Genomic DNA, 14,882 nt, shown 5'->3' with positions numbered 1-14,882 from the left:
TTCTGGGTGTACTTTAGCGAACATATGCGTGTGTGTGTATTTGGATATATACTTAGGAATGAAATTTCTACATCATAGAATATACCTTTATGTAGTTTTGGTAGTTTTCTAACATTATAAAAATTTGTATTGCTTTACGTTTAATTTTAATTCTTTCTGAGTAAAACAAATACCCTATCTCTTTGCATTATGGTGAAATAGACGAAGATTTTTGTGTATAGCCTACATACAGATTTGAAAATATAGTCTGGATAATTCAACTTAGCCCCGCCCCACGACATGTACAAAAGTCCTTTGAGTTTTTTTTATATTTCAGGTGATATCTTTTTAAATAACCGTATGAATAATTTTTTGTTCTTTATTTTTCCAGTGAGCACCATAAAATAAAAACGCCATACAATCCAACAATTATTTATTAGTTCTTGCCATTCGCAACATCCTGCCTAATACATGGAATACAAGACAGTATTCCTTCCACTTCAAGAAGACTGTTTTCTAGCCAAGAGTAAGAAATAGAGCGTGATAAGTGCCATGATTCAAATAAGTCTAGGCTAATATGAGAGCCTGTCGGGACCCAATCCAGTTTTAGGGAGTTGGATAAGTCTTCCTAGAGGCTTAACTGAGACCTGAAGAATTAGCAATTGTTATCCAATGAAATTAAGATCAGTAAGAGTGCTCTAGGCAAAGGAAAAGGCATTCAAAAAGATTCGGCATGGAAGGAGAAGTTTGGTGTTGACAGAAGTTCAGAATGGCTGGAAAATAAAATTTGTGAATTTGTGTATTAGGAAGGAGAGGTGCAGTTTCTGAGAGAAGAGTGGAAATATAAGCAGGGGTGTTGTAAACTGGGATAAAGAGTTTGCATTTTATCCTGAGAGCAATGGAATGTCATAGAAAGTTTTTAAGCGGATGAACAACATGATCAGATAAGTATATTCCTTTTTTAAAAAGGAAGATTACTATAACTTCAGTGTAGAAAATAATGTAAGAACTGATTTGATGGGAGAAAGCCTAGCCATAGGAAGTCCAGTTACAAGGCTGATGAATAAATAAATCTTTAATTGATGTTGATTCTTACTGCCTTTAACTAGATTTTCTTCTTCCTTAGTAGTGTCTAGTTTGCCTTTGGGGTGTGGGCCGGAAGTGGAGGTCCTGTACTCTCTCTTTTCTGTGTATCTTCTTCCCACATGGAAATCTTTCTAACACTTTCTTACTCCCCTTCCCCCAGTCGGATCTCATGACCACAACCTCTAAGTTCTCCAGGATCACTCCTTGGTCCCTGATCTGCTTCTTTGACTTTCTTTTTACCAACGGTTTCTTAAGCTTTGTATTTCCCCACCCATGAACTCTCCCTAAGAATTCTCTCTGCTCTTCTCTCCATGGTCCTTCCCTATTATTGAGAACCCTGCCTTGGAATATAAAGTACTTTATGGCCATAATTTTTTTTCTTAAATCAAGTTTAAAACAAAGTGTCTTTTTTTTTTTTTTTAAAGAAGCACTTTGTTTTCATCATGAAGATGGAAGTACAGGGATAAACACTTGGGAAAAACTAGAATAATTGGCTCATAGACAAAATCTCTTGAATGGTGGAATGTTTTCTTAGAAATGGGACAGCAATAATGAAACATAATTTCTTTATGGACTTATAACCTACTGCTTTTTTGTTAGTTCTGTAGAAATCCTGTCAAAGAATATGAAGAAAAACAGAGAAAGATTCTGCAATAGAGAGAGAGAATTTGTATATAAATTTAAAGTAGGAAGTCAGTGCTTAGAACTGAGAGTGCCACTCAAATTTCCTGTTCAAGAGAATGCCAGTCATTTGCATGGACGTCTGATGCTGCTGCACAGTTTACCGTGCTTTATAGAAAAAGGTGAGGACTGTTTTTTTTTTTAAGTAACACCACTTTATTAGTTTCAATAGTCTGTCATTGGAAGTTTCATATTAGAAAGCATAAACCTAAGAAGCTTTGGAAACAGCCATAACATAGGAACTGATTCCAAGAATAAAAACATTTCTCCAGAGCTTTCTTTTATTGAGTGTTTTTTCCTATAAGTGGTAGTTGTTTATAAAATATAAAAATTAGATTTTATAATGAAAAATTAGCTACAAAGTTTGGAATTAGAGGAGCTCTTCTGAATTTAGTTGGGTGAAGTTATAAGGCAGTTTAGCTATCGCTAATTGTGCTAATAGAATTATAGTGCTAAATTGGTTGCCCTTTTAATAATCTGGTCATTAATTTCTGAGATGCCATAGAACAGAAAGTGTACTAATTTTTGAATAGTCTTTGCTTACCTAAATTAGTTTTATAAAGTTAGATGTATTAAACCATTTTTAAAGGTCTGTGCTCTATCTCACAGTCTAGGAAAAATTTAAAATTCAGAATATGTTAGATCACAGGTTAGAGTTATAAGAGAACCTAGAAACTTTATAGCCCAATCACATTGTACAAACAAGGAAACTGGAACATAAAGAGGTTAAATTATTTACCCTAGGCAGTGGTTCTTGAAATATGGTTTCTAATCATTTAGCAGCAACAGCATCACCTGCAAGCTTGTTAGACATGCAAATTCTCGGGCTGCATCCCATTTCTGCTGAATCAGAAACTAGGGTAGCATGTGGCAGTCTGTTTAAATAAGGCCTCCAGGGGTTTCTAATGCACACTTAAGATTGTGAACCACAGTCTAAAGTCGCGAACATAGTGATAATAATAGAGCCAAAGCCAGAACACAGGTGTCCTAACTTCTCTCTCAGTGCTCTTCCGTTATATCATTCTCTAAGTGGTGTCTGTAAAACTGAAATCGGTCAGTCATCTAAGTTAAATGTGTTAATAAGCTAGTCATTTAACTTCTCTTTCAAAGGATGTAACAATGTACCCTTTAAAGTTACATGGAAAACTCTTTTTAATGTAAATACAGTAATGTTCAGACCTTCAAAATCTGTAGCATTTTCTTTATGTCCTTATACCCACTTGGCTTCAAACTGAAATATCAGGCTTAAGAAAGTAACATTACTTTATTAGTATCAAGGGAATACGTAAGAGTTAAGACTTTTGACCTTTCTCTATGCAATAGCCTGTAATAGTAAAGGAAAATAATCATGAAATTAGTTAAATGATCCCCTAAGCTGATTTCATTTTAGTTGGAGATTCTATTAAGAGTATCAGCTTGATAAAATAAAATTTCATGTCTGGGCAAGGTGGCTCACACCTGTAATCCCAGCACTTTGGGAGGCTAAGGCAGGTGAATCACTTGAGCTGACGAGTTCAAGACCAGCCTGGGCAACATGGTGAGACCTATCTTTACCAAAAATACAAAAATTAGCCATGCATGGTGGCATGCACCTGTGGTCCCAGCTACTCGGGAGGCTGAGGTGGGAGGATCACTGGAGTCCGGGAATTCAGGGCTGCAGTGAACTGTGATCATGCCACTGCACTCCAGCCTGTGTAACAGAGAGAGAGACCCCATCTCTAAATAAAAAATAAAAATTTAACAATAAGATTTCACATTGGAATTCTCAGCCAAGTAAAATGTTCCCTATTTATACCTGGATTTTGCTGACGATGGTGTTTGATGTCCCTGTAACAGACTTAAAAGAAGCTCTGACTCAGTTTATAGAAGAAGAATCCCTCAGCGATTATGATAGAGATGCTGAAGCATCCCTGGCAGCTGTGAAATCAGGTGAAGTAGATTTACATCAGCTGGCGAGTACATGGGCCAAAGCTTATGCTGAGGTAAGAAAATAGGTCAGATTGTAAATTTCAAGGATATTCTGGATTTTGGTGAAAATTTTTAAAATGCTGTGGTAATCCTGAAATCGTTATAAGATCCTTTTTCTCCACATACAATATTCTATAATGTATATGTTGCTGCTTCTGTGCTTCCTATATCAGGGTGAGCACATAAGACAAAATGCTATTTATGTAATACCTTTGTAAAACAAGAGGCTACTTGCATATATCTCACCAGCACAGGGTCTCCAGATTTAGTAATTAAAAATATAGGACACCCAGTTAAGTTAGAATTTCAGATAAATGAATATTTTTTAGTATATCAACATATTACATGGAACATATTTATACTAAAAAAAATTGTTCACTATTTATCTGAAATTCTAATTTAAGTGAGTGTTCTGTGTTTTATCTGGCAACCCTAAATCAGCAACAGCATTCATGTAACCTTTGGTTTACTTTTATAAACTTATCTTCATTATTGTTGTGTAGTCACATCATATCATTTTCTATTTAAATAATATACCCTGTTTCATAAAGTCTAAGATGCCATTAGGTATATCACAAATGATTTTATTTACTAAGAAAGAGCACTGCAAATTAAACTATGAGAGAATGCCAAGATGACATCAAGTATAAGAGGCAAAGAAAAGACTCAAAAATATCCATTGTATTTATCAAGTAATCTTGTCTGTGGCAAGATCAGTTTCGGTAAGTTGGTGGTGGTGGAAATGAGATTTCACTGACTCTAAGCATGTGGGAGTGTGGAAATAGGAAGAATTAGTATACTAACTGAAGAAGTTCGAATATAAAGAGGTGAAGGATGGGGCACTGGCTAAATGGGAACACAAGGTCAGAGGTTTGTTTGTTTGTTTTTTAAGGCGGCAAAGTTTAGGACTAGAAGGGATAGAATCCAGAACTCAAATGGAGAATTAATCATAACTGGGAAGACAGATGCTTCTCCACTTACAGCCAAAGAGAAGCAGGAAAGGTTGGATATAAATTCAGATAATTTTATTAATTTGGTAGCAGGAAGTTGAGAATATTCTCTTCTGAGTGTTTCAACTTTAAGGAAAGACAGGTTATTTGTTTAGATGAGGCAGTAGGTATAAAAAGATTGTTGGATATTTAAGGAGAAAACCGAGCAGCGAATGATAGGATTGCCAGGCATCATTGAGGCCAAGATTAAGAGTGGCACCAGTTTGTCACCATAAACTTTATAGAGTTTTGTGATTTTTCTGCTACAGCTCTCTAAAGCCCGACTGCAGGCATAGAGAAGAGGAATAAGATGAGGGTTTTGTTAGGTGGGTAATATAAGGTACATCAGTCAAGGGAGTTGAGGATATCGGCAAGACAGTGGTTGAATGCTAGATCACAAAATGTAAGCTACATAGGGAAAGAAGTGAAGCTAAGTGGCAGTTGATGGCTGATTTAAAAAAAAATGAAAACATTGAGAAACTTATGAAGTGGAGGTCCTGATGAGGTTAAATATCAATTACCTGGGGATTATTGAGCGAGAAATCTTGGGTGGAGGTTGTAGTCAGAGACTAGAATGTTTGAATACTGACGGACTGAGTTTCTGGTGAGGATACTAAATGGATGGCTGAGGTGGTGTGGAGAACTAGTAAATGTTGCAGGTAAACGATGACTATCTGGGCTGGTGGTACAGGGGTAAAAGAATTTACCAAGACAGTTGTAGATAAAGAAAGGTAGGTTTATTAGAGAAAGTAGGAAAATATGTTGCGAGGAGGCAATGGGCAGGCCAACAGAAGAGAAGCTGACTTCAAGGAAACAAAGGCTTGCTGGAGATTTTATAGGACAGCGTTTATGCTGTATGCTGTACAGTGCTGTGTGCAGTACTGATAACCCCAAGACTGCAGTGAGCTGCAGTCTTGCAGCTATCTTGCAGGTGTCTGGTGAAAGGTGAGTGCAGGAGGGCTACGTGGCCTGGACCAGGGGTGTCCAATCTTTTGGCTTCCCTGGGCCACACTGGAAGAAGAATTGTCTTCGGCCACACATAAAATACATTAACATGAGGGATAGCTGATGAGCTAAAAAAAAAAAAAAAAAAAAATTCACAATTTATGAATTTGTGTTGGGCGGCATTCAAAGCCATCCTGTGCCACAGGTTGGACAAGCTTGGTCTGGACCATGAGGAAAGGCAGACTTATAGCTTATCTGCTTTCTCTTTTTGCTTTCCCCTGGTCCTGCCAGCCTGATTCCTTTTCCCTAATTGGGACTCCACAGTAAAGATTGTAGAGTTCGGGAAAGTAAGAAGGCAGTGCCTTGGATGGGTTTCCACATGGATATCCAAGTAACCCAGGTTGATGGCAGGATGTGGGGCAGAGAGGAATTCTTTGAACTTGGTGCCAAAGCTTTACAGGAATGAGGGTGAGTGACAGACAGGTAGGTTGTTAGATAATGATGGCCATGAAAGATAAGGGGTGCTGAATGGTTTGAACCTCAAAGAAGTCAGGCGTTATGCCTGAAAGTGGAGGTGGAGAAATAATGGCCTGGACATTGAATCGCTTTCTCTCTGCAGTCACTTCCTCAGTGCCCCATTCCTCTCAGCCGTCCCAGTCCCCTTTCTAGTAGCATCTGTCCTGAGGGAGTGGCGTAAATTAGGTCAAGGAAAAACCTATGCTTAGTTCTTCTCACGTAGGTATCTTCTACCTATTCATAAAGCTTCCCCTAGGCTGAGTTTAAAATTAATGCTGCAGATTTTTGTAGTTAGATGATCTGGTAGTGGGGCTACTGAACATCTGGTGTTGTGTGTGGCCAAGCACATCCCTACAGTCTTACAGTAGCTCCTCCCTACAAAATTTCAACTTTGCCCTGAAGTGAATTTTAAACAGAAGTTAAGTCCCATAGGCTGGTTATAATTCCTACAGCAGTCGCACGTCTAAAGATGAACAGTTATCAGAACAGTTTTGGAGTTTCAGAGGCATAGAGTAGATGAAATCGTAGTTCTAGGTTCAGCTAGTCTCCTGCCTTTTGATGTGGCAACTGATTGAAGTGAAAGAGAACAAATTAGAAAAGTTTTCCTGTTGACTGACTGAGTTCAAGATAGCTGTTTATGTGATGTGTTTGTTTGTTTTAAGGTAAATTATTACTCTTAAGTCATATTATAAATTCCAGTTTTTAATATTTTCGTGGGTAAGAAAAGGGAAGAATTTAGTTTTTTTTTTTACAGGTATCTTTTGCAAAGATCTATAATGGAAAAAACATCAAAATCTTTGTTTTATTTCCACTTAATGCCATTAAGTCATATGATCTTTGACTTCTCAGTGTATCAGTTTCCTCCGATGAGTTGAGGAGGCAGCCCTTGGGATAGGCATCTGTACCTCCCTGGATGTATTCGTGTGTGCTGAGGGCATTCCCATTTTGTTTCTCCCTGTTTCTGCTTTTCTTGTCTATCAGCGTTTACTCAGTCCCTTCATCATTTTAATAGCTACCATTTTTATATCCTTAAAAGCCTGCTGATATTTTAAAAAGAAAATGTAACACTAGAAAAGGTCAAACTAAATGCATAATTACACATTTATCTTGATATAGGTATGCATGAATTTGGCTTTCATTCGCAGGTGACCACATAGGTCACCTTATTTTCTAAATATGTAACCTACTTTAACAGTATTTTTTTAATAATGAAAAGTTTTCTCTGATTATGTAACTAATGCATGCAAGTTATTTTACCATACAGTATGTTAGAATATAAATAAAGGCTATCAGAAATCCCACTGTCCTGAAATAGCCACCATTAGCATTTTGTTGATCATCTGTGTGTGTGTGATTTCACAGAAATGAGGTCACAGCATAAGCTTTTATTGTGGACACTTCCTATCCCTTCCTCCACATTAGTACCTCCTTCTCATTTCTGCTTCCGGGTAACTTATATTAAGAACTTAGTCTGTATCTCTCCACATTTTTTTTTTCTGTGCTTAGACAATCCTGTATAATACACACACATATATTTACACACACATATATATATAAGAGGGTCTTTCTGTCATTGAAGTGCAAAAATGGAATCATACATACTTTTCTAGTAGTGTGTTAAATAAAAATACTAGATCATGATTTAAGATTGTCTGTATATTATCTTGTAGACCACGTTAGAGCATGCAAGGCCTGAAGAACCCAGCTGGGATGAAGATTTTGCAGATGTGTACCATGACTTAATTCATTCTCCTGCCTCTGAAACTCTCTTAAATTTGGAACATAATTACTTTGTTAGTATCTCAGAACTGATTGGTGAAAGAGATGTGGAGCTGAAAAAATTACGAGAGAGGTATTTCAAATTTCTTGCATTATCAGAATTAAATGTTACGTTGTCAAATAGATGGCCTGCAGAACAACTTGTTTTTATTTTTTACAAAAAGGATAAGATAGAAAAAAAAACTTCAATATTAGAAATTAATTTTCTTGTATGTTTAAATGTGTAACTACAACTGGGAGGGTCCTCATAGGTTTATATACCTTCTGAGTGGTTTAACTAAGTAAATGATACTGGTGGGCCTTATATATTCTTATCTCTAATAAGAGGAATAGATTACTTCTGTTGAAGGTTTGTTTTGTTCCAGGCACTGTGCAAACTGCTTTGGATGCCCTATCTCATTTGATCTTTACCATAACCCTACTATTATTTCCATTTTACAGATGAAGAAGTTTTTGCTTAAATAAGTAACTTGTCCAAGGGCATGCTGGAATTTGAAACCAGGAAACCTGACTTCAGAACTGTTAACCACTGTACCATTCTGTCTCCCTATTCAGAACCTCTGTATTGCCCTGCTCTAACTATGACCATGGCTCTTTCAGTTCATTTTGTACGCTCAAGTACCTTAGAAAAAAATAATAACACTAGTATTGTTCCAAGAAATTGTAATTAGATTTGAATTCCTGCTGTATGGATTACTTAACACAGTATACAAACAATGCTTTTATTATTTATCTTTTCTTCAGAGTATGTAAAAAACTTCTAGCATTATTTATTTTAAAGTAATAAGTGGCTTCCCTGACTGCTTTCTAGTAACTCTATATAAATTGTGATAGGAATTCAGGATGTGTCCTTCTAGATAATCCATTGTAATTTAGCAGAATCTAATAATATTTATTATCTTAAAAACACTTATTTAAGACATTGGGTGTATATGCCATTAAGATAATAGTTTTAGTGTTGCTTTGATTGTGAGAGTATATTAGGACTAAATCACTTTTGTTTGTGTGTGTGTGTGTGTGTGTGTGTGTGTGTGTGTGTGTGTGTAACTGATTTAATAGTCCCAAAGGAGTAAATTTAAAAAGATGTGCTGGTTTGTTCCTGGTTCTCATTAGCTTCCCATTAGAATACAGTAAGGCTAGCAAGATGAGAATAATCTTTGGAGCATTGTCATGGTTAAGAAAATTTTAAGTACAGAAAAATAATAAGGAAATGTATTTAATAATTGTTCCTGAGGGATACTCTCTTCTGTGTACTAAATTAGCATATTTATTATATTGCATAGATTTGTAAATTTTCATAACAATTGTACTCCTCTGGACCACTTATTCTCATACTTTGTAAAATATTAGAATGATCTCTTTGTCAAAAAGAACATGCTGTTTTGAGATATTTGTCACTGTTTATAGGTTTGGTTTGTTGACCAGCTGTATTGGGGCAGTTTATTCCTTTTTGATGAGATACCTGCAGTGAGTGGTTGCCACTAGGTATATAGTTGAAACATATTTCCCTGGGGAAGACAAAATTTTTTTCTAGTTCTTTATTATGTAGCCCATAAAATTGTGAATATAGTTTAAAAAGAAGAACAAAATATAGAATTAGGTTTTTAAAAATACGTAAAAGTAGAATTACCTAATACTAATTAATTACTTTCTGTTGAACTTCATTTGTTTGATTTTTCCTCCTAGGCCTTCAAATAATATAACCTTCAAGTCATCCTGAATCTGTTATTAGCCGTCAGGTTTTCTGTGACTATACTCATTCTGCCTCTTTGGGTATATTGATAAATTCCCATTTTGGCTCCCTATACTTCCATTCCTAGTACTTTCATTGAGCTGTTGAGTGACTCTAACTTGCAGCATAGTTTGCTGCCTCTACCCCCTAGAAAACTATATATCTAGCCATTAATAGTCTATAATGCTTCCTTATTCTAAATCTGAAGATTTGTGTTCTACATGATTCTTCATCTTTTGGGAAGTTCAATTAACGTGCTAATTACCTGCATTTACTGGTATTCATACTTTTTTTTTTCATGGAATAGTTTTTTAGTAGAGGTTTGTTTTGACTTATTTTATTGTTTGAAATCATATTTGGCCATATTTCTTGATGGGGTTTGGCCTTCTTTTTTCTTTCTAAACATATAAATAATACTTGAATTCATCTAGTTTTAAAAGTTTTGTAATTTATTTTTAACCTGTCCAAACCGCTAGCTTGAAAAAGAAAAATAAGCTGTATTCCTCTGGTAGGTAATATTTATTGCAAAGGTGAACAGTATGACTTAAGGTAAGTTGAAATTCACTAGTGTCTGTGGAGGTTGACCCGAAATTTTGGTGCTTAATTTATTTATCCATTTCATGAGCAGAAGTGACACATTTTCTTATTTCATTTTAATGCCATTGTACATCTTTAAAAGACAGTTTCTCGGCACAGCATCAATAATACAAGTTATAATGATTTTTTTTCTTAAAGTATCTTCAAGATAATATATAGGTTGCCAGAGTTGTCACATCTCACATACTGAGCCAGGCTATATTTAGTATTTCATCTGAGACGTAATAAAATTTTCTTCTATCTTAATCATAGAAAAAATATATTGTATCATCAACTATATGATTAGCTAGTTGCCTTTTGGACATATTTAGGATGAAATAAATGTTCATGAAATTTTATTTGTTGAATTTCTGTCTGTCTTTTTCTTCACAAGAGATGTGCTCTTTTTTTAAGCAAACCAGATTCTAGATATTTCTTTAAACTTTAAAAATGGCAATGATACCTTTTATCCACTAGAGGGAACATGTGTAATGTAAAATAGTAATATATATTTATATCTGTTTGTATTTATAAATGGTTAGCAGTTATTTCTGTTTCTAAATAAGAATCTCACTTGCAAGCATAATTTTCATTTGACCCATAATAGTTATTAAAAGTTAATGGAGTCATCTGCCTTAGAACTAAGTGGGATTTAAGTGATATTGAATATTTACTACCAGAAGGTATATATAGAAATGTATATATGTGTAACTTGCTTGAATTTAATTTATCATATATATATATCTTAATCAGTGTTATAAATAAGTATAAATTCACCCTTTTTTTTTTTTTGAGATGGAGTCTTGCTCTGTTGCCCAGGCTGAAGTACAGTGACACGATCTCAGCTCACTGCAACCTCAGTCTCCTGGGTTCAAGCAATTCTCCTACCTCAGCCTCCCAAGTAGCTGGGATTACAGGCGCCCGCTACCATGCCCAGCTAATTTTTGCATTTTTAGTAGAGATGGAGTTTCATCACGTTGGCCAGGCTGGTCTTGAACTCCTGACCTCAGGTGATCCGCCCACCTCGGCCTCCCAAAGTGCTGGGAGTACAGGCATGAGCCATCGCGCCTGGCCAAAAATTCACTCTTAAGAGCAATTTACCTGAATTAACTAGGATGATAAAATCCTCTTAGTTTATATCTGTGTTTTGTTCTTTCCCAGTTTGTTAGAAATTTGTTTTAGAACAAACTTTTTGCATACATTTGTATTAGAAGATAATCTTTAATTTCAATTTTTTAAGTGAACTTATTTATTAAAATATAACATACACACAGAAAAGGCAACAAACTGTGGGTGTACAGCTCATTAAACTTTCACAAATTAAGCACGACCATGTAACCATTGCCCAGATCAAGAAATAGAATATTTCCAGCATTACAGAGTCCTCTTTCATGCCCTTCTAGTCCTTTACCCTTTCCCTCATAAATAACCATTATCTGTACTTCTAACACCATTGGTTAATTTTTCCTGTAGGAAAAACCATTTTTAATTTTTGCACATTATTTCTTTGGATAAATGCAGAAGGTGTGACTAACATCTTCAGACTGTATTTTACGTCTCTCTGTAAATTTTATGACTTAATAGTAATTTGACTCAGGATCTAATTGTCTGCTTCTGGATATAATGTAAACTAACTTTCAGAGGTTGAAGTCACTTTAGTTCATATACAAATAGAAAATCCATTTAAGCTGAAATTGCAGAGCCTCTTCTTTGAGGAAATTTGCAGGTGAAAAGGGGTCCAGAGTTTTTAACATTAGCCATGGTAATTGAAAGGTAACTTAGATTTTGACTGCATTCGTCTGTGCAATACATTTAGATGAAAATTTAGCTGCACAAATGATGTTGATATTATATGACACTATCATCGTTATTGGCTAGTCTCCATTTCCAAGGATTCTAAAGTACTTTCCAGTTACAATTCTCATTCCTGGACACATTTCTATAAAATAAATTTTTTATTTTCACTTTATAGAGATTGTTTGATGAATCTGAAGGATCATATACCTTGAAAGTTTGATGAATATCCCTGATTTGTTTATTTGTGTTTTAGACAAGGTATTGAAATGGAAAAAGTCATGCAGGAATTGGGAAAATCACTGACAGATCAAGATGTAAATTCACTGGCTGCTCAGCATTTTGAATCCCAGCAAGTAAGTGAAATACAGTGACTTTTAGGTATGCAGTTGCATTTTCTTTTGTTTTTTTGTTTGTTTGTTTTTGTTAAAAAAATTAACCAGTTGGTATACTGTTTCTTTTAGGACCTAGAAAATAAATGGTCGAATGAATTAAAACAATCAACTGCCATCCAAAAACAAGAGTATCAAGAATGGGTAATAAAACTTCACCAAGACCTAAAAAACCCCAACAACAGCTCCCTTAGGTATTAACTATGTATTGTTCTTATTCATATAGTAGTCCATTGTTAGTAATGTTTATATTTACTACAAAGTTAAACCTTTTAGCTGTATGTCTTTTTAATTTGCTAGTGAAAGTTCAAGACAATTTTATGCTGTGCTTTTACCACCTTTTGCATTATAGGCTTTATGTGGATTATTTGGGGGGCAATGGTTATTGGTTAGTTTGAAATAGAACTTTAGTTTTATGTTCTAGATACATACACCTAAATACTTAAATACTATCTTTATTTCTTTAGTTTCCACTCCATGCAGTAAACATTGGTTGAATGCCAAACACTCTCTAAGCAGAAAAACAAACAAAAAAAACCCCTGCCTATATGGAGCTTATATTCTAGAAAGAGAGACTGATCTATAAATAAAATAATACTGCATAGAGTGGTATGTGCAGTAACAGAAGCATGTAGAAGGTACAGAAATAGCATGGAGGATTTCTCATAAATTATAACTTGTATGGCATCTCTTGGCCTAGATAAATTGTATTTCACATATTCCCTTAGAGCTTGACCATACCTATGTTATTTCCTGGCTATGTATCTGTTATGTTTGAGAATTAATATTTTTCAAATCCTAAAGTATATTCAGTTGGAAATATACTGAGTACGGTATAATAATCCTATTTCCAGCATATGCCAGTGTATGCTATAAATATTTTTAAATAGCATTTTATTTGTATAATGTCAGTCTCATGTCTTTTTTTTTTTTCGTTGTGTACCCAGTTCCTTGCCAAGTGTTTAGCTCTTGACACTAGCACATAAGACATGCTCAGTAAAAATTTATGGGATGAATGGATGGACAGATGGATAGGTTATTGTTAAAGTCTTTACCTGACATCTCTATCATCTCTTATCTAAATATTACAGTTTTTCATTTGCCTTACTGTTTTCCCCAAACTGTTCGTTGCAGCCTGCTATGAACCATTCTACATCCCTTATTTTCCAACGAGCCTTTTAAAAATAACAATAGGAAAAAAATCAGGGTGCATCATATGTGAAGCTTTCTATAAATGAATGTGTATATTGAGCCAAAATGTAAAATATATACTGTATATTGTAGTCAGAAACATTGAAAGCCACTGATTTAAGGAAGCTGTGAAAGCCCTTTGCTGTGAAAGTTATCCCTTTATGATCATGCTACTGCACTCCAGCCTGGGTAACAAGAGTGAGAAACTCTTAAAAAAAAAAAAGTTATCTCTTACTTTGCTGCTAGAGTTTCAGAAATTCAATCTTTAGAATCAATTTCTTTTTTTTTAAATTTTTTTATTATACTTTAAGTTCTAGGGTACATGTGCACAACGTGCAGGTTTGTTACATATGTATACATGCACCATGTTGGTGTGCTGCACCCATTAACTTGTCATTTACATTAGGTGTATCTCCTAATGCTATCCCTTCCCCCTCCCCCAACCCCACGACGGGTCCTGGTGTGTGATGTTCCCCGCCCTGTGTCCAAGTGTTCTCATTGTTCAATTCTCACCTATGAGTGAGAACATGCGGTGTTTGGTTTTTTGTCCTTGTGATAGTTGGCTGAGAATGATGGTTTCCAGCTTCATCCATATCCCTACAAAGGACATGAACTCATCCTTTTTTATGGCTGCGTAGTATTCCATGGTGTATATGTGCCACATTTTCTTAATCCAGTCTATCATTGATGGACATTTGGGTTGGTTCCAAGTCTTTGCTATGGTGAATAGTGCCGCAATAAACGTACATGTGCATGTGTCTTTATAGCACATGATTTATAATCCTTTGGGTATATACCCAGTAATGGGATGGCCGGGTCAAATGGTATTTCTAGTTCTAGATCCTTGAGGAATAGCCACACTGTCTTCCACAATGGTTGAACTAGTTTACAGTCCCACCAACAGTGTAAAAGTGTAGAATCAATTTCATTTGTGTAAATATTGGCCTGTAGCTGATGCTGCTTTTAAAAATCAAGTATTCCTAGGAAATAATGTTTTTATTGTGACTTTGTTACTTTGCTTTTCTTTTTGATAGATGTTTCTTTGGGCAGGAGAGATCTCTTTTCAACACAACTATATATGGAACCCTTATATGTGATTGATAAAAGTGGTATTTTAAAATTTATTTTTGCTTTATTTTTCTTTAAAGTCAGGTCAGTTGAGGAATAAATTACATAAAGTTAAAATTCTTCTCTTTTAGGTGTACAGTTTGATGAATTTTGACAAACTTAGTCATAAAATCATCACCACAATCA

At 35.2% G+C, this 14,882-nt stretch overlaps 1 protein-coding gene across 11 annotated transcripts in view, besides 1 other annotated feature; it reads left to right on the top strand.

Moving 5' to 3' along the window:
• The window catches only part of FERRY3 (FERRY endosomal RAB5 effector complex subunit 3), a 50,735-nt gene that overhangs the window by 585 nt on the left and 35,268 nt on the right, over positions 1-14,882 (top strand). For 5 of the 11 annotated variants that reach the window (NR_144380.2, NR_144379.2, NM_001346153.2 and 2 more), the window contains exons 2-6: positions 1,666-1,868; positions 3,583-3,728; positions 7,835-8,016; positions 12,302-12,401; positions 12,510-12,631. Coding sequence is in view for 7 of the 11 variants with exons in the window: in NM_001346153.2 (NP_001333082.1) it covers positions 1,691-1,868; positions 3,583-3,728; positions 7,835-8,016; positions 12,302-12,401; positions 12,510-12,631 (728 nt within the window). In the remaining 4 variants the exon portion in view is untranslated. The remainder of the gene's footprint in view (positions 1-1,665; positions 1,869-3,582; positions 3,729-7,834; positions 8,017-12,301; positions 12,402-12,509; positions 12,632-14,882) is intronic. The other 6 variants (NR_144382.2, NM_001352962.2, NM_001346157.2 and 3 more) reach the window with 2 other exon arrangements.
• Positions 2,456-2,515: an enhancer, noted in NCBI's record as "active region_5825". NCBI's record gives its function as "activates an Ori minimal core promoter by ATAC-STARR-seq in GM12878 lymphoblastoid cells {active_cell/tissue: GM12878}" and the evidence as "EXISTENCE:reporter gene assay evidence [ECO:0000049][PMID:35858748]".

This window comes from Homo sapiens, chromosome 12 (assembly GCF_000001405.40).
Source record: "Homo sapiens chromosome 12, GRCh38.p14 Primary Assembly".
NCBI lineage: Eukaryota > Metazoa > Chordata > Mammalia > Primates > Hominidae > Homo > Homo sapiens.
This window is presented reverse-complemented; position numbering and strand designations above follow the sequence as displayed.